At 51.0% G+C, this 17,245-nt stretch overlaps 1 protein-coding gene across 2 annotated transcripts in view, besides 1 other annotated feature; it reads left to right on the top strand.

Moving 5' to 3' along the window:
* Positions 1 to 17,245, top strand: part of CAVIN1 (caveolae associated protein 1) — a 20,808-nt gene extending 3,563 nt beyond the window's left edge. The window contains exon 2 of one of the 2 annotated variants that reach the window (NM_012232.6): positions 14,306 to 17,245. In NM_012232.6, the coding sequence (NP_036364.2) occupies positions 14,306 to 15,007 (702 nt within the window). In that variant the 3' untranslated portion in view covers positions 15,008 to 17,245. Of the gene's footprint in view, positions 1 to 7,443; positions 9,798 to 14,305 lie in introns of those variants that run through there. The other variant, XM_005257242.5, reaches the window with a different exon arrangement.
* Positions 13,334 to 13,383: an enhancer, noted in NCBI's record as "active region_12200". NCBI's record gives its function as "activates an Ori minimal core promoter by ATAC-STARR-seq in GM12878 lymphoblastoid cells {active_cell/tissue: GM12878}" and the evidence as "EXISTENCE:reporter gene assay evidence [ECO:0000049][PMID:35858748]".

Genomic DNA, 17,245 nt, shown 5'->3' with positions numbered 1-17,245 from the left:
ATAGGAGTTAATGGACTGAGGGTTGCAGGACGATCAGGCCAGATTGTGAATATAGAGGCAGTTGCTCTAAAATACCATGCAGAGGCCGGGCTAGGTGGCTCGTGCCTGTAATCCCAGCACTTTAGGAGGCTGAGGCAGGTGGATCACTTGAGGTCAGTAGTTCGAGACCAGCCTGGCCAACATGGTGAAACCCCTCTCTACTAAAATACAAAAATTAGCCGGGCATGGTGGTGAGCACCTCTAATCCTGGTTACTCGGGAGGCTGAGGCAGAAGAATGGCTTGAACCTGGGAGGCGGAGGTTGCAGTGAGCGAGATCGTGTTATTGCACTCCAGCCTGGGCGACAGAGTGAGACTCCATCTCAAAAATAATAATAATAATAATAATAACAACAATAAATAAAATAAAATGCCATGCAGATGAGTGGAACTATGATCATTAAAGAACCAATTCTTCCAGGCAACAATTTGTTTTTTGGGGTTTTTTGGTTTTGTTTTTCAGACAAGTTCTCACTCTGTTGCTCAAGCTGGAGTGCAGTGACACAGTCATATCTTACTGCAGTCTCGAACTCTTGGGCTCAAGTGATCCTCCTGGTTCAGCCTCCCGAGTAGCTAGGACTACAGGTGCCCACCACCGTGCCCGGCAAATTGTTTTTTTTCATATTTGTAGAGTCCGGGGTCTCACTTAGTTGCCCAGGCTGATCTCAAACTCCTGGGTTCAAACAGTTCTCCTGTCTGGGCCTCCCAAAGTGCTGAGACTACAGGCATGAGCTACCACGTGCATCCAGTTTGTTTATTTTTAAACTTAAAAGGCTTTATTTTTAATTACTATGGATACATAATAGTTGTACATATTTTTGGAGTACATGTGATATTTCGAGACAAGTATGCAATGTATAATGATCAAATCAGGGTAATTAGAGTATCCGTCATATCAAGCATTTATCATTTCCTTGTGTTAGGAACATCCCAATTCCACTCCTTTAATTATTTTGAAATACGCAATAATTTCTGTTAACTCTATCACCCTATTGTGCTACTGAACGTTAGATCTTATTCCTTCTATCTAACTGTATTTTTGTACCCATTAACCATCCCTCCAGGCAACAATTTGGAGAGTAGGGCTCTTTTAGATCCAGAAAGTGGGGATAAAATGGAAATACGGGGCTGGGCGCGGTGGCTCACACCTGTAATCCCAACACTTTGGGAGGCTGAGGCGGGCGGATCACCTGAGGTGGGGAGTTCGAGACCAGCCTGACCAACATGGAGAAACCCCGTCTCTACTAAAAATACAAAATTAGCCAGGCGTGGTTGCACATACCTGTAATCCCAGCTACTCAGGAGGCTGAGGCAGGAGAATCACTTGAACCCAGGAGGCAGAGGTTGCGGTGAGCCGAGATCGCACCATTGCACTCCAGCCTGGGCAACAAGAGCGAAACTTGGTCTCAAAAAAAAAAAAAAAAAAAGGAAATACAGTCACGCATTGCTTAATGACTGGGATATGTTCAGAGAAATGCAGTGTTAGGCCATTTCCTCACTGTGTGAACATCATAGAGTAACTTTACATAAACCTAAACAGTATAGCCTACTGCACACCTAGGCTATATGATACAGCCTATTGCTCCTAGGCTACAAACCTATACAGCATGTTAATGTACTGAATACTGTAGGCAACTATAACACAATGGTAAGTATTTGTGTATCTAAATGTGTCTAAACATAGAAAAGGTGCAATAGCCATGGCACGGTAGCTCACACCTGTAATCCCAGCACTTTGGGAGGCCGAGGCAGGTAGATCACTTGAGGTCAGGAGTTAGAGACTAGCCTGGCCAACATGGTGAAACCCCATCTCTAAATAAAAATACAAAAATTAGGTGGGTGTGGTGGTGGGTGCCTGTAATCCCAGCTACTTGGGAGGCTGAGGCAGGGGAATCGTTTGAACCTGGGAGATGGAGGTTGTGCCTGGACAAGAGAGCAAGACTGTCTCAAAAAAATAGTATAGTATAGTAAATACATAACCAGTAACACAGTCATGTCTTATCAATATCAAGTATTATGTACTGTATATAATTGTATGGGCTAGACTTTTATACAACTGGTAGTGCAGCAGGCTTGTTTACACCAGCAATCACCATAAACACTTGAGTAATTCATTTCACTAACACATTATGATGGCTACAATGTTATTAGGTGATAGGAATTTTTTATCTCCACTACAATCTTTTTTTTTTTTTTTGGAGACAAGTTCTCGCTCTGTTGCTCAGGCTAGAGTGCAGTGGCACAATCTTGGCTCACTGCAACCCCTCTGCCTCCCAGGTTCAAACAATTGTTCTTCTTCAGCCTTCCGAGTAGCTGGGATTTACAGGTGTGAGCCACCATGCCTGGCTAATATTTTTGTATTTTTAATAGAGACAGGGTTTCACCATGTTGGCCAGGCTGGTCTCGAACTCCTGGCCTCAAGCAATCCACCTGCCTTGGCCTCCCAAAGTGCTAAGATTACAGGCATAAGCCACCACAACCAGCCTCCATTACAATCTTATGGGACCACGGTTGTGTATGCCGTCTGTTGACTGAAACGTTGCTATGCGGCTCATGACTAAAAATGTGTTCTGGAGCAGTTTTGAGGAGGCAAAGTCAGTGACCTACATATGGACCAGCAGCAAAGGCCCATCAGACCTGCTCCAAGTGCCTGGGGATAAGGGCCAGGAAGCATTTAAGGGATTAGGTGTCTCATGGGCATTAAAGGGTAGGGCACCAGGGCTGGAACGAGAGCCTGATGGCTTCTCCTCCCCAAATCGCAATCCAACCTGTACCTCTTTCCTGGATTCAACGCAAATTAGGGCTACCTTGCTCTAGAAGAACCCCAAACCTTTGTCCAAAAATATTCTCAACCCAGGGCTTTGGTCCCTTTCATCCCTAAAACCCAGCGGCCATGGAGAGTATGCATAGTACATCCCTTCCTCCCAAACTGAGTTTGGGTTGTTTTTCCTGGTCACTGGGTCCAAAGCAGGGAGGGTATTTTTAGGGGTATTCCCAAGACGAAAGGAAATCATGCTATCCCTGGGTTCCTCCCTCCCTTTTTTTTTTTTTTTTTTTTTTTTTGAGAAAGGATCTTAGCTCTGCAGCCCAGGCTGGAGTGGTGGTATCATAGCTCACTGCAGCCTCAAACTCCTAGGCTCAAGCAATCCTCCCATCTCACCATCTCAGCCTCCCAAGTAGCTGGTACTACAGGCACAAGCCACCATGCCCAGCTAATTTTTAAATTCCTTCCGGCCTTCTTTCCTTCTTCTTTTCTTCTTTTCTCTCTCTCTCTCTCTCTCTTCTTTCTTTGACAGAGTCTTGCTCTGTCACCCAGGCCGGAGTGCAGTAGCGTGATCTCAGCTCACTGTAACCTCCACCTCCTGGATTCAAGCAATTTTCATGCCTCACCGTCCTAAGTAGCTGGGATTACAGGCATGTGCCACCACACCTGGCTAATTTTTGTATTTTTAGCAGAGACGGGGTTTCACCATGTTGGCTAGGCTGGTCTCGAACTCCTGACCTCAGGTGATCCACCTGCCTCAGCCTCCCAAAGTGCTGGAATTACAGGTGGGAGCCACTGTGCTCAGCCTAAATGTTTTTTCTAGAGGGTCCCCACTGTTGCTTAGGCTGGTCTCGAATTCCTGGGCATAAGTGATACTCCTGCCTTGGCCGCCCAAAGTGCTGGGGTTACAGGCGTGAGCCACGCGGCCTTTTTATTTTTATTTTTCATATTGTAAAGATCAAAGTCAAAAGCATGAGGAGACAGCAAAGAGTGGGCAACTGATAGCAAGAGGGGAGGGGATATTATTGCTAAGCAACTAACCTCAGAAGTAGGAGTGGCTTGGGCCATTTTTTTTTGGAAATATAACATTGTGAATATTTCATCATTCTGTCATTAGCATTTTTTAAATTTTTCTTTTCTTTTTTTCTTTTTTTTTGTTTTTTGTTTTGTTTTGTTTTTCTGAGACAGGGTCTCACTCTGTTGCCCAGGCTGGAATGTAGTGGCAGCTGTCACGGCTCACTGCAGCCCCTGTCGTCCGGGCTCAAGCATTCCTCCTGCCTTAGGCCCCCAAGTAGCTAGGACTACAGACATGCACCACCACATCCAGCTAATTTTTGTATTTTTTGGTGGAGATGGGGTTTCTCCACATTGCCCAGGGTCTCCAATTCCTGAGCTCAAGCAATCCGTCTGCCTCAGCCTCCCAAAGTGCTGGGATTACAGGCGTGAGCCACCGCACCCGGCCTCATTATACACTTCTTGAGCTAGAAGACACTTTGCAAATAATCAACTTCAACTCCTTCATTTTGTGGTTTAGGAAGCTGAGGCCCAGAGAGGGGAAGTCACTAGCCTATTGTCACTCAAGTGATTGGGAGTCAAACTGGAGCCAGAACCCAGGTGTACCCTTCCGCTACACTCACTGCTCCCCACCCCCTCCTTCCGTTCTGGGCTCTGCAGCAGAAAGCTGAGTGAAGACTAGCCCTGACAAAGCTAGGGCTAGCTGTGGCTCCGACACTTGCTGAGGGAGTTAGTTGCACAGTCCTGGCCCTGGGGCTGCTTTGCGTGTGTATGGGTGTTTGTGTGTGTGGCGTTGGCTATGAGTGGCCAGCATTGGTGGCCATTGGCTGCTTAGCCTTGTAAGTGCTGAAGTAGAGGCAATGTGTGGTCACCTGGCCTGGTGACAGTGGGAGGGGAGAGGTGTAGGGGAGGGGAGGGGTGTAGGGGAGAAAAGTGGGGGAAAGGAGGGGTGTTGGGGAGGGGAGGGGCGTAGGGGAGGAGTGGAGCTCCTGGTCAGCCGTGGTGTGCCCTGGCAGGGACTCCACACATACCTAGGAGAGGGACATGTTGTTTCCCTTTCTCTTCAGCCTCTCTGCCACTCCCACCTCCTCCTTGTACCCTGCAGGGGAGGTTGGGACCTGCTGCTTTGTTTTTTTGAGACTACAGGCTTTATCAAATACTGCTATTGCCTGAGTCCAATAGTGCCGCCAAGTGTCCCTCTCGCCTGGCATCTGATTGCTCAAAGCAAGAAGCCTATAGTCTTCCACAACTCAGCCCCTCAGGAGAGAGAGTTGGGGGCTGCCGCAGAGGTCCAGAGGTCCCAGGACATAGGCTCACCTGTCATAAAAATAGCTTGGTTTTGCCAGGCACAGTGATGTGTGCCTGTAGTCCCAGCTACTCAATAAGTTGAGGCAGGAAGATTGCTTGAGACTAGGAGTTTGAAGCCAGGTTGGACAGCATAGAGAGACTCTATCTTAAAAAAAAAAATAGAGCTTGGTTTTGGATCCTGATTTCTCTGTGCATTTTAGTGTATGATATCTTAAGTGGTAGCAAGAGGGAGGGGTGGCAAGGGAGACAGAAGGTGGGGACGTGGCCAAAGGGAAATTGCCAGGATGTCCCTCTTCCATGCCTATCCCTCTCCTCATTTGGGGTAGCATCCTGTGTCCACCCTACCCCAGGGAAGAATGAAAACAGATTAATCTGGGCACACTGGCTCATGCCTGTAATCCCAGCACTTTGGGAGGCTGAGGTGGGTGGACCACTTGAGGTCAGGAGTTCAAGACCAGCCTGGCCAACATGGCGAAACTCCGTCTCTACCAAAAATACAAAAAAAATTAGCCGGGCATGGTGGCACACACCTGTAATCCCAGCTACTAGGGAGGCTGAGGCAGGAGAATCACTTGAACTCAGGAGGCAGAGGTTGCAGTGAGCCAAGATCACGCCACTATACTCCACAGCCTGGGTGACAGAGCAAGACTCCGTCTAAAAAAAAACAACAACCACAAAACTGGGATTGGCAGAGTCTGACTCTGAAGACAGTGAAGTTGTGTGCCTTTGTATTTACTCATCTGAGCCTCCCCAGTTATAATCCAACAACTAGCCCCTTAGAAAACTCCTTATCCACCCCTAGTAGCCTCCATAGTCTTCCTATGATTATGGCTGGGGAAGGATTGGAGATGGAAGCCCAAGAATGGGACTGGGGAATATTGTAGAGGGAGGAAGGGAGGGGCTCAATTGAAGCTGTGTTTATTAATTCTTGGGCTTGAGTTTGCCCCACCCCTTTTGGCCCCAGGGACCTCTTTTTTTTTTTTTTTTTTTTTTTTTTTTTTTTTCCCTTTTTGAGACAGACTTTTGCTCTGTCGCCCAGGCTAGAGTGAAGTGGCTGGACCTCAGCTCACTGCAAACTTCACCTCCCTGGTTCAAGTGATTCTCCTGCCTCAGCCTCCCGAGTAGCTGAAATTTCAGGCATGTGCCAACAGGCCCCACTAACAGTATTTTTTGCAGAGACCTGGGCAATGTTGCTGAGGCTGGTCTTGAACTCCTGGGCTCAAGGGATCCACCCACCTTGGCCTCCAAAGTGCTGGGATTACAGGGATTATAGGCGTGAGCCACTGTGCCCAGCTCCCAGGGCCCTCTTGATGAAGCATTTAAAATGAGTTTCTAGGCCAGGCATGATGGTGGCTCATGCCTGTAATCCCAGCACTTTGGGAGCCCAAGGAGGGCAGATCACTTGAGGTCAGGAGTTCAAGACCAGCCTGGCCAACATGGTGAAACCCTATCTCTGCTAAAATTTCAAAATATTAGCTGAGCATGGTGGCACCCACCTGTAATCCCAGCTACTTGGGAGGCTGAGGCAGGAGAATCGCTTGAACCCAGGAGGCGGAGGTTGCGGTGAACCAAGATCAGAGATCACGCCACTGCACTACAGTTTAGCAGCCTGGGCGATAGAGAGAGGCTCCATCTCAAAAAAATAAATAAAATAGTCCAGGCGCAGTGGTTCCCGCCTGTAATCCCAGCACTTTGGGAGACCGAGACAAGAGGATCGCTTGAGGCCAGGAGTTCAAGACCAGCCTGGCCAACACAGTGAAACCCGGTCTCTACTAAAAGTATAAAATTAGCTGGGCGTGGTAGCATGCACCTGTAATCCCAGCTATTCGGGAGGCTGAGGCAGGAGAATTACTTGAACCTGGGAGGTGGAGGTTGCAGTGAGCCAAGATCGTGCCACTGCACTCCAGCCTGGGCAACAGAGTGAGACTCTGTCTCAAAAAAATAAAATAAAATAGTTTCTAGCCTGGGCAACATAGTGAGACCTTGTCTCTATCAAAAAAAAAAAAAAAATTAGCCGGGTTTGATGGTACACAACTGTAGTCCTAGATATTTGGGAGGCTGAGGTAAGAAGATTGCTTGAGCCCAGGAGTTGGAGGCTGCAGTGAGCTATGATTGTGCACTGCACTACAGCCTGGGCAACAGAGCAAGACCCCCATTTCTAAAAAAAAAAAAAAAAAAAAAGTGGTTTATTTCCATCCTAATACATTGTGCTCCCCTCCCTACTCACCAGCCCCTACTCTGCATGCCACCAAGGCCCTTTTTTCTCAACTCCTTTTGCACCCACCCCAAGCCCCATTTAAACCCCTTTTCCTCATCTTAGCCCAAGAAGAAGCCGAATGCACCCTCTGACCTGGCCACACCCAAGATCGTGCCTTTTGACCTGCCTGAGACTGAGCCCTTTGACCTGAAGCCTGAGACAGTGCCTGAGCTCCCACCTTTTGACCAGACGCCTAGGGCACTGCCATATTACCCAGAGCCTGGGCCCCGGCCCACCCCAGAGGAGCTGACAGCCGGTGGGAGTGTTTAGGGTCTCCCGGATCCCGTTCTGTGGGCGTGGGGTATCTCTTCAGTCCACTGTCAGCCCACAGCCTAGTGGTGATCACTGCCAGGAGGGCCACCATCCCCAGTCACTGCCCACTGTGGACGGGTGCCGGGTACTGTGAGAACACTGGCGTTATGCAAAGTTCAGGAGAATGGGATGTATACAGTGGGGATGGGAGGGGAATGGAAGGGGCCTCCCCACTTCTTGGTTTCTGTTTTTAGTAGTAAATGCTCCCCCACACTTAAGCTGCACCCGAAGGCTGCCTAGCATGAAGGCGCATGGCTTCTGGTTCTGCCGTTCCCCCTGCTGCCTCCTCCTGAGGGACAACCCAGTTTGGCTCAAAGCCTCTTTGGAGAGGGCCATCATGAGGCTCAGGCCTGGGGTCTGTTCTGTGCCCTCTCCACCCACTCCCTGCAGCTGAGGAAAACATTTACACGTATTTTCTCCAGTTTCTTTTAGAAAATGCTTTGCAAAGAGATCGCTTATGTTTGCCAGATCCTGCCTTGGGTGGGGTGCCCAAAAGCTGCCAACTCACAGATGCCAGGAGGGGGACATTCTAGCTGGCTCTGGCTCAGGACCTCTGGCCTTCCTATAGCAGAGTGTTTCTCAACTTAAAAAAAATGTTAAAAAAATTTTTTTTAGAGATGGGGTTGGACTGTGTTGCCCAGGCTGGTTCTGAACTCCTGGGGCTCAAGTGATCCTCCCACCTCAGCTTCCCAAAGTGCTGGGATTACAGATGTGAGCCACCTCACCCAGCCAGTTTTTGTTGTTGATGGTTGTTGTTGTTTTCATAATCACTCCCATATACAGACCTTTTAGTTTTTTTTTTTTTTTTTGAGACATAGTCCTACTCTGTCACCCAGGTTGGAGTGCAGTGGAGTGATCTCGGCTAACTACAACCTCCACCTCCTCGGTTCAAGTGATTCTCCTGCCTCAGCCTCCCAAGTAGCTGGGATTACAGGCATGTGCCACCACACCCAGCTAGTTTTTGTATTTTTTGGTAGAGACGGGGTTTCGAACTCCTGACCTCAGGTGATCTGCCCCGCCTCCCAAAATTCTGGGATTACAGGCATGAGCCACCACCCCTGGCCCTTTCAATTTTTTTTTTTTTTTTTTTTTTTTTTTTTTTTTTTTTTGAGACAGAGTCTCACTCCGTCGCCAGGCTGGATTACAGTGGCACGATCTCGGCTCACTGCAATCTCCACCTCCCTGGTTCAGCCTCCCGAGTAGCTGGGATTACAGGCTCGTGCCACCACACCCAGCTAATTTTTGTATTTTTAGTAGAGACGGAGTTTCACCATGTTGGCCAGAATGGTCTCGATCTCCTGACCTCGTAATCTGCCCACCTCGGCCTCCCAAAGTGCTGGGATTACAGCCTTGAGCCACAGCACCCGGCCCCTTTCAGATATTTTTAACCAAGCTGTTCATCTCCCTCACGAAATGTTAAAACAATAGATAAACTGTATATCTGTTTATGTACTGTGGCTCTTGGGAGTGGCACAAATCATTGTGATATCTAAGTCCCCTCCCAATCTCCAAGAATCAGTTTTCACCCTTTTGGATGCAATTTCACCCCTGCCAAGAATGCACGCTAGAGCAGAAGGGAGGGACACTTCTGCCCTTGGGGTCTCTCATCTCCTTGTCTTAGCAACCTCTAGCAGAGGTCCTGAATTTTAAAGACGTTCTCTCCCCTTCACCTCTCCCCTCCTCTGCACCCTCTTCTAACATACACTCTAAGCAGATCCTGGGTCTCTGAATTACCTCTCCAGTCTCCTCCAGCCATTCCCAGGCAGTGGTTGGGGACCTAGAGCTGGTCAGCCTTAAGTCAAGAGAGCCTCCTACCCAGACCCATGTGGCATCTGTCCCTTCTCCCTAACAAATGTGAAGTGCCTGGCCAAGGGCCAGATGTGTAATAGGTGCTCAATGACATTATAATCTTATAAAAATCTTCCTAAGCCAGATCTCGAGTTTAGACAGCAGGGTTGGGGGGTGGAGTGGAAGAGGCTGGGAGCCTCCCTGTGGCTCCTCTGCATCCATCGAGGATTGAGGAGCTATGTGTGCTTGGCAAAGGGCAGGGGGAACTGTAATGCTTTTGTTCAGAGCTGGTCATTAAAGGTAACTCTGGAAACCAAGCCTATTGGGAGTGGTGGTTTTGTTTAATAAAAACGAGAAACAGAACAAGCAGAGCCGTCCCTCCTTGCCATCCCCTGAGGTCCTTCCTTTGGCTTAGGAGCTCTGCCAGAGAAGTAGGGGTGGGACAAGGGTGCCTGGCCTGTGTGCCCAGGGTGGAGGGAGATGATTTTGGATTGTGTTTGTGGTGGTTGTACCAGCAAGCAGATGGGTGGGACCAAGACAGCACTCCAAGGCTGTGAGTCATGGGGGAAACCTGGCCTGGAGTGGAGAGGAAAAGCTAATGGTGAAATACCCTCTCCAGAGCCAGCCTATTGGACATCATCCCAGGATTCAGCTCAAGTTGTTTCGTCTCCTGTCCCCTGACCTTCCACCAAGAAGGCAGCTCCTATGGTGTAAGCCGTCACTCCAGGGGAAGCCTACGATGAATGGGGTTAGAGCCCCCAGATCCCTTACTGGTCTGGAGAGATTTCTAAATCCAGGAATAAACCTCCCCTTGGCCAGGCACAGTGGCTCATGCGAGAAATCTCAGCACTTTGGGAGGCCGAGGCAAGGGGATCACTTGAGCCCAGGAGTTTGAGACCAGCCTGGGCAACATAGTGAGACTCTGCCTGTACAAAAACTACAAAAATTAGCTGGGCATGGTGGCGTGCGCCTGTAGTTCCAGCTACTTGGGAGGCTGAGGTGGGAGGATCACTAGAGCCCAGGAGGTTGAGGCTGTAGTGACCTGTAATCATGCCACTGCACTTCAGCCTGGTTGACAGAACAAGACCCCATCTCAAAACAAACAAACAAAAACACAAAAATGGCCAGATGCGGTGGCTCGTGCCTGTAATCCCAGCACTTTGGGAGGCCGAGGTGGGAGGATCCCTTGAGGTCAGGAGTTTGAGAACAGCCTGGCCAACATGGTGAAACCCTGTCTCTACCAAAAAATACAAAAACTAGCCAGGTGTGGTGGTGCATGCCTGTAATCCCAGCTACTTGGGAGGCTGAGGCAGGAGAACTGCTTGAACCCAGGAGGCAGAGGTTGCAGTGAGCCGAGATCGCGCCACTGCACTCCAACCTAGGTGACAGAGTGAGACCATGTCTCAAAAAAAAAAAAAAAAAAGGCCGGGCACGGTGGCTTAGGCTTGTAATCCCAGCACTTTGGGAGGCTGAGGAGGGCGAATCACATGAGGTTGGGAGTTCAAGACCAGCCTGATCAACATGGAGAAACCCCGTCTCTACTAAAAATACAAAATTAGCCAGGTGTGGTGGCACATGCCTGTAATCTCAGCTATTTGGGAGGCCCAGGCAGGAGAATTGCTTGAACCTAGGAGGCGGATGTTGCGGTGAGCCGAGATCGTGTCATTGCACTCCAGCCTGGGGAGCAAGAGCAAAACTCCATCTCAAAAAAAACAAAAAAACTAAAAAACAAAAACCTCCTCTCACTAGGATTGCTTCCTTATGTTGTAGTTTGAGACCTTTCATGAGGCACTAGGAAGATGGCATTGGCTATAAGAAGTCTGCAGCTCTCTCCCCAGTCCCATTCACTTCCAAGTTCAGCTGGCAAAGACCTTTATCTAGGAAGCCACAGGCCAGGAAAACCAGCCAGCTCAGCCTTTAGGGGTGGGGTGGAGCAGGCAGCAGGGGTAGGGGAGAAGCGGGGGATGCTGGGGGTAGGGCAGAGAGACAAAGTGGATTTGTTTTCCAGCAGCTGGGGCTGTTTCCTGACTATTCCCTGCCTGTCACCCTTAATCCCTCCCTAGCCTATTCACATTGTCTGAGTTTAGTGAAAGGAGGGGCTCTCTCCACCCTTTGGTGGGGCGTGGGTGGGTTTTTAAGTCTGGGAGGTTATGAAGGAAAGATCAGAGCTGAATTTTTTTTAATATATATATATACTGGGGCTGCAGGTAAATTCTGGGTGGAGATGGATGAAGAGGGTTTAGATCCTACAATGATGTATAAGTCTTAAATGATATGCACTCCAGTAGCAGGCAGGGTAAGGGTGATTGTAGGAGCCCCAAAGTGAATGACTGGAAATCAGAGGGAATGCAAAGAGAAGTTGAGACTCTCCTACACTCAGAACAAGGAAAACACCCTTCAATGCCTCAGTGAATGATAAGAGGCAGAGGGATAAACAAAATGCCCTAGGATTGCCCATGATCTGCACTAAGCCGTCTATGGCAGGTAGAGACTACAAGTCCCAGCATGCCCTGTGCCCAGGTCACCTTGCCTGCTGGGAGGTGTAGTTGGGTAACAGAGAGCTGGAGGTGGCTTGGTGCCCAGCAGAGCTGATGCCCAGATGAGAGAAGAGGTGGAGCCAGCATTCCCTCTTTGTCCCTGCTAATGCTATTGACAAGAAGGGAAGGAAGTTGGGAGAGGGTGTTCCTAGTTTTCAGTGTAAACCAGGAAACTCTGGGGGGATGTTGATGGGAGGGAAGAGGAAAGAGGTTGGGGGCTGGGGAAGGAATTTCTGTAGCAGGTGGTGCAGAGATACCGAGCAGCCTATGTATAGGGGTGTGTGTGTGTGGTGTCAGTGAGAGGACTCAGTTTATGTTGCCTTAATTTCTTAGGGGACAGGATTTTTCTTATAATTCTGGGAAATGGTCTTCAGAAAACCCTTTAGAAAAGCGACTATCTCTCGTTCCTTCATTTGAAGTCACTAAAGGGAGTCTGGGCCAAAGAGATCCTATTGATGATCTTGGTCTGCCCTTTCCCTTTCTGTGCTCAGCCTCCCCTGCTCTCTGATGAGGGTGGAGGTGGGGGAGGGAGTGATCCAGAGATTCTGAAATGTTGGCCAGAGTCAAGATCTTGGAAAATCTTCCCGGAATGGAAAGCAGTTCTGGTGCTAAGTCCTCCAAGGAGAAGACAGAAAAGCAAAGAACTGGTTCTGAGCTCCAGGGTCATGGGGAATCTGAGACCACCCATCCTACTCCTAGACCCCTGAGCTCAGGCTTTGTGCTGGGGGCAGGGGGTAGGGAAAGCAAGAATTGAAAAGTAATCTCTCTTCTATCCCAAAGTAGGGAAGTCACAACCAGAAGAAATGTCCAGACTGGGGAGAAAACATGTCCGTGGCTCCCAGCCAGCTTCTTCCTCTTTCCAATATCAATTTCTAAATGTGGGGGAGGGGGAGAATGACCACTGGTGGAGCCAAACAGTATGAAGGAGTCAAAGAAGGTGGAGGTGGGGGAGGGTGGACCACAGTTCTCCATCTCTAAGGCTGGTTCTGAAATAGCTTGAGGCCAGGAGCAGTGGCTTATGCCTGTAATCCCAGCACTTTGGGAGGCCAAGGCGGGTGGATCATTTGAGGTCAGGGGTTCGAGACCAATCTGACCAACATGGTGAAACCCCGAGTCTACTAAAAATACAAAAAAATTAGCCAGGTGTGGTGGCGCATGCCTGCAGTCCCAGCTACTCAGGAGGCTGAGGCAGGAGAATTGCTTGAACCTGGGAGGCAGAGGTTGCAGTCAGCAGAGATCGTGTCACTGCACTGCAGCCTGGGCGACAAAGCGAGACTCCATCTCAAAAAAAAAAAAAAAAAGAAATAGCTTGAGTCTAGGAAATGCACTTCCTTTACTTTACCTGCTTGGGTGGGTAGGTGCAGCTGTGGGCTCAAACCCCTACCCGCTTTCAACTTAGACACTCCCACCACTTGCTTTTCGGCCTGGCTCGGGCAGTGTGCGATTTGCGGCACCAGAGGGCGCTCCGCCCATTTCCAAAGTGGAGCTGTGTCTCCCGAGGGCCGTAGTGGTTTAATATCATCTACGGGTGGAAAGGGATCAGGACAGGGTTGGACGACCACAGAGATTTTAGCCCAAGTGCAATTATTACGCAACCCCATCTCCGACCCGAAGTTTGGTCCCCTGCTCCCGCGGTCTGTTTAGTCACCATTCGTTCAACACACATGTTTTTTAGAGAATGGCGGCGCGAGGCCGGGCGCAGTGGCTCACGCCTGTAATCCCAGAACTTTGGGAGGCCGAGGCGGGCGGATCACCTGAGGTCGGGAGTTCGAGACCAGCCTGACCAATATGGAGAAACACCGTCTCTATTAAAGATACAAAATTTAGCCGGCGTGGTGGCGGGCGCCTGTAATCCCAGCTATTCGGGAGGCTGAGGCAGGAGAATTGCTTGAACCCGGGTGGCGGAGGTTGCGGTGAGCCAAGATCGCGCCCACTGCACTCCAGCCTCGGCAACAGATCGAGACTCCGTTTAAAAAAAAAAAAAAAAAAAAAAACAAGGAGAGAGAGAGAGAAAGAATGGCGACGCGGGGTTGGGGGGCCGGAGATGGGTGATATGTTGCCCAGGCTGGTCTCGAACTCCTGGACTCAAGCCATCCTCCTGCCTCGGTCTCCCACAGCGCTAATATTACAGGCGTGAGCCTACACACATTTATTGAGCGCCCGCCAGTTTCCTGGGGACCACGAGCGTCCCATGCTCCCCTCTCTCCAGGATCGTCACCACCCTGACTCAGGCTCGCCCACATCCGCCTCCTCCGACGCCTCTCATGTCCCTTCTCCTCTTCCCTTAGGATGAAGTGAAGCTGCCGGCCAAACTGAGCATCAGCAAATCGCTGAAAGAGTCGGAGGCGCTGCCAGAGAAGGAGGGCGAGGAGCTGGGCGAGGGCGAGCGGCCCGAGGAGGACGCAGCGGCGCTGGAGCTTTCGTCGGACGAGGCGGTGGAGGTTGAGGAGGTTATTGAGGAGTCCCGCGCAGAGCGTATCAAGCGCAGCGGCCTGCGGCGCGTGGACGACTTCAAGAAGGCCTTCTCCAAGGAGAAGATGGAGAAGACCAAGGTGCGTACCCGCGAGAACCTGGAGAAGACGCGCCTCAAGACCAAGGAAAACCTGGAGAAGACGCGGCACACCCTGGAGAAGCGCATGAACAAGCTGGGCACGCGCCTGGTGCCCGCCGAGCGGCGCGAGAAACTGAAGACGTCGCGGGACAAGTTGCGCAAATCCTTCACGCCCGACCACGTGGTGTACGCGCGCTCCAAGACCGCGGTCTACAAGGTGCCACCCTTCACCTTCCACGTCAAGAAGATCCGCGAGGGCCAGGTGGAAGTGCTCAAGGCCACCGAGATGGTGGAGGTGGGCGCCGACGACGACGAGGGCGGCGCGGAGCGCGGGGAGGCCGGCGACCTGCGGCGCGGGAGCAGCCCCGACGTGCACGCGCTGCTGGAGATCACCGAGGAGTCGGACGCCGTGCTGGTGGACAAGAGCGACAGCGACTGAGCCGCCCCCGCTGCCACCCACCCCATTCCTCGCTCCTTCCGAACTTCCTCTTTCGCATTCTCTCTCGGCTCGAGCTGGCTGAGATTTTTCTAAATTGAAAACACGCCCCCCTCCCCACACCTCCAGGAACTCCACTCCCAGTCTTAGAGCTGTTAGGACCCGATGGGGAGGCAGCCCCCGCAGTGGACAACCCCCGCTTGGACACAGTCCGAGTGGAATGGGAAGGGAATGGTCAATCCCTGTCCTGGTTGTCCAAGTCGGGATCTCAGAGGAAATTGCAGTGATTCCACGGTTAGGCCCCCCTGGGGGGGCTGCCTTCCCCTCAGCCTCTCCCCACACCACCCACCCAGCTGCTGTCATTCCGCTCACTGAGCTCTTCTTCATTCTCACCCTGATCCCTGGGGGACTCAAAGCCAAAACTGCCCAAAGAGGAAAGATTGAATCCTAAAGGGGATCCCTGCCCCCATGGGAGGCCCCCTACTAGAAGGACGTGAAAGCAGCTTTTGGGGGAAACTGAGGCAGTGGGGAAGACAGAGCAGAATGAGCCCTCACCCTGGCTGGGGGTCCAGCACAGGCTGTATCTGCAGAGGGTCCCAGAGGAACGCTGGAGCCAAGAGAAGCCCTGGGAAGGAGGGGTGGGGAACGACATGCATGTGAGGGATGGCACACTGATGTGTTTATGCACCTGTACACAGGAGCGCATGGCCATGGCTTTGGAAAGGAGAATGGAAAAATAGAAGAAGGTCGGCCGGGCTTGGTGGCTTATGCCTGTAACCCCAGCACTTTGGGAGGCCGAGGTGGGCGGATCACCTGAAGTCAGGAGTTCGGGACCAGCCTGGCAAACACCCCATCTCTACTAAGCGAAAACCCATCTCTACTAAAATTACAAAAATTAGCTGGGCATGGTTGCGCATGCCTGTAATCCCAGCTACTTTGGAGGCTGAGGTGGGGAGAATTGCTTGAACCTGGGAGGTGGAGGTTGCAGTGAGCCAAGGTCGCGACACTGCACTCCAGCCTGGGTGACAGAGTGAGACTCCATCTCAACAGAAGGAAAAAAAAGGAAAATAGGAGAAGGTGGAAATGGGTGAAGAGAGAAGTCCCCTCACTAGCTGCATGAGAAATCTATCTTACTGTGGTTCTCCATGGGCAGCAGGACCATTTTTCAGAATCAAGAGGGAGGACAGTGTGAGAAGGCGATGATCCAAAGAAGACAGAGAGGTCAGCCCCACCCGATCCCTCAAATGGGCTCTTGGAGGCACCCCCAGGGGCAGCCCATTTCTCAAAGTCCAGAAAATTAGGGTCCCAGAAGGGGGCAGCAGCAGGCTGGGAGTTAGGAGGGAGAGCAGGGTGCCGGCCCTGCCACCAAGTTGAGAGCTGGAGGGGAGGTGGGGAGAGAACATCACAGAGCAGCCAGCCCTGGTTCACTCCTGGCAGTTTCTTCTCAAGCTCCTTCCCTAGGAGCATGGTGGCACGTGCCTGTGGTCTCAGCTACTTGGGAGGCTGAGGCGGGAGGATCGCCAGAGCCCAGGAGTTTGAGGCTGCAGTGAGCTATGAGGGTGCCTCTGTGCTCCATCCTAGGCAACAGAGTGATACGCTGTTTAAAAAGGAAAAAATCCTTCCCTAGAGCTAGTATCCTAAAGCTGCAGAGCTAGCCCAGACCTCATTGGTTTCCTTGTCCTTGGGGTGCTTTTCCTGAATCTTTGCGGGTGAAGGGAGTGTTGCTCCCAGTCCAGAGGCCTGATTCTGTTTGGACTGGGTTCTCAAGACACGACCAGGTTCTCAAGACACGAGTCCCCTTGTTCCTCCCCATTAAAGGGGGTTTGTCAGAAGCAAGAACAGCCCCTCTCCCCAGTCACAGCCTGAAGGGAGGCCCCGAGAGCTTCCTCCTTCCCCCCACCTGCTCCTTACCTTCTCTGCCCTGCTTTTTAGAACTGCAGTTCATTGTTTTAAGGGATTGGGGGAGGGAGCCTGGGGACACAAACCTTTTATACAATACAAAGCTTTGCTTTTTTTTTTTTTTTCTTCCTTTTCCCTTTCTCGGTTCTCTTCTCTCCTCTGAATGGCTGAAGACCCCTCTGCCGAGGGAGGTTGGGGATTGTGGGACAAGGTCCCTTGGTGCTGATGGCCTGAAGGGGCCTGAGCTGTGGGCAGATGCAGTTTTCTGTGGGCTTGGGGAACCTCTCACGTTGCTGTGTCCTGGTGAGCAGCCCGACCAATAAACCTGCTTTTCTAAAAGGA

Source organism: Homo sapiens, chromosome 17, assembly GCF_000001405.40.
Source record: "Homo sapiens chromosome 17, GRCh38.p14 Primary Assembly".
Taxonomy (NCBI): domain Eukaryota; kingdom Metazoa; phylum Chordata; class Mammalia; order Primates; family Hominidae; genus Homo; species Homo sapiens.
The sequence above is the reverse complement of the archived record's forward strand: the minus strand, read 5'-3'. Positions and strand labels throughout refer to the sequence as shown.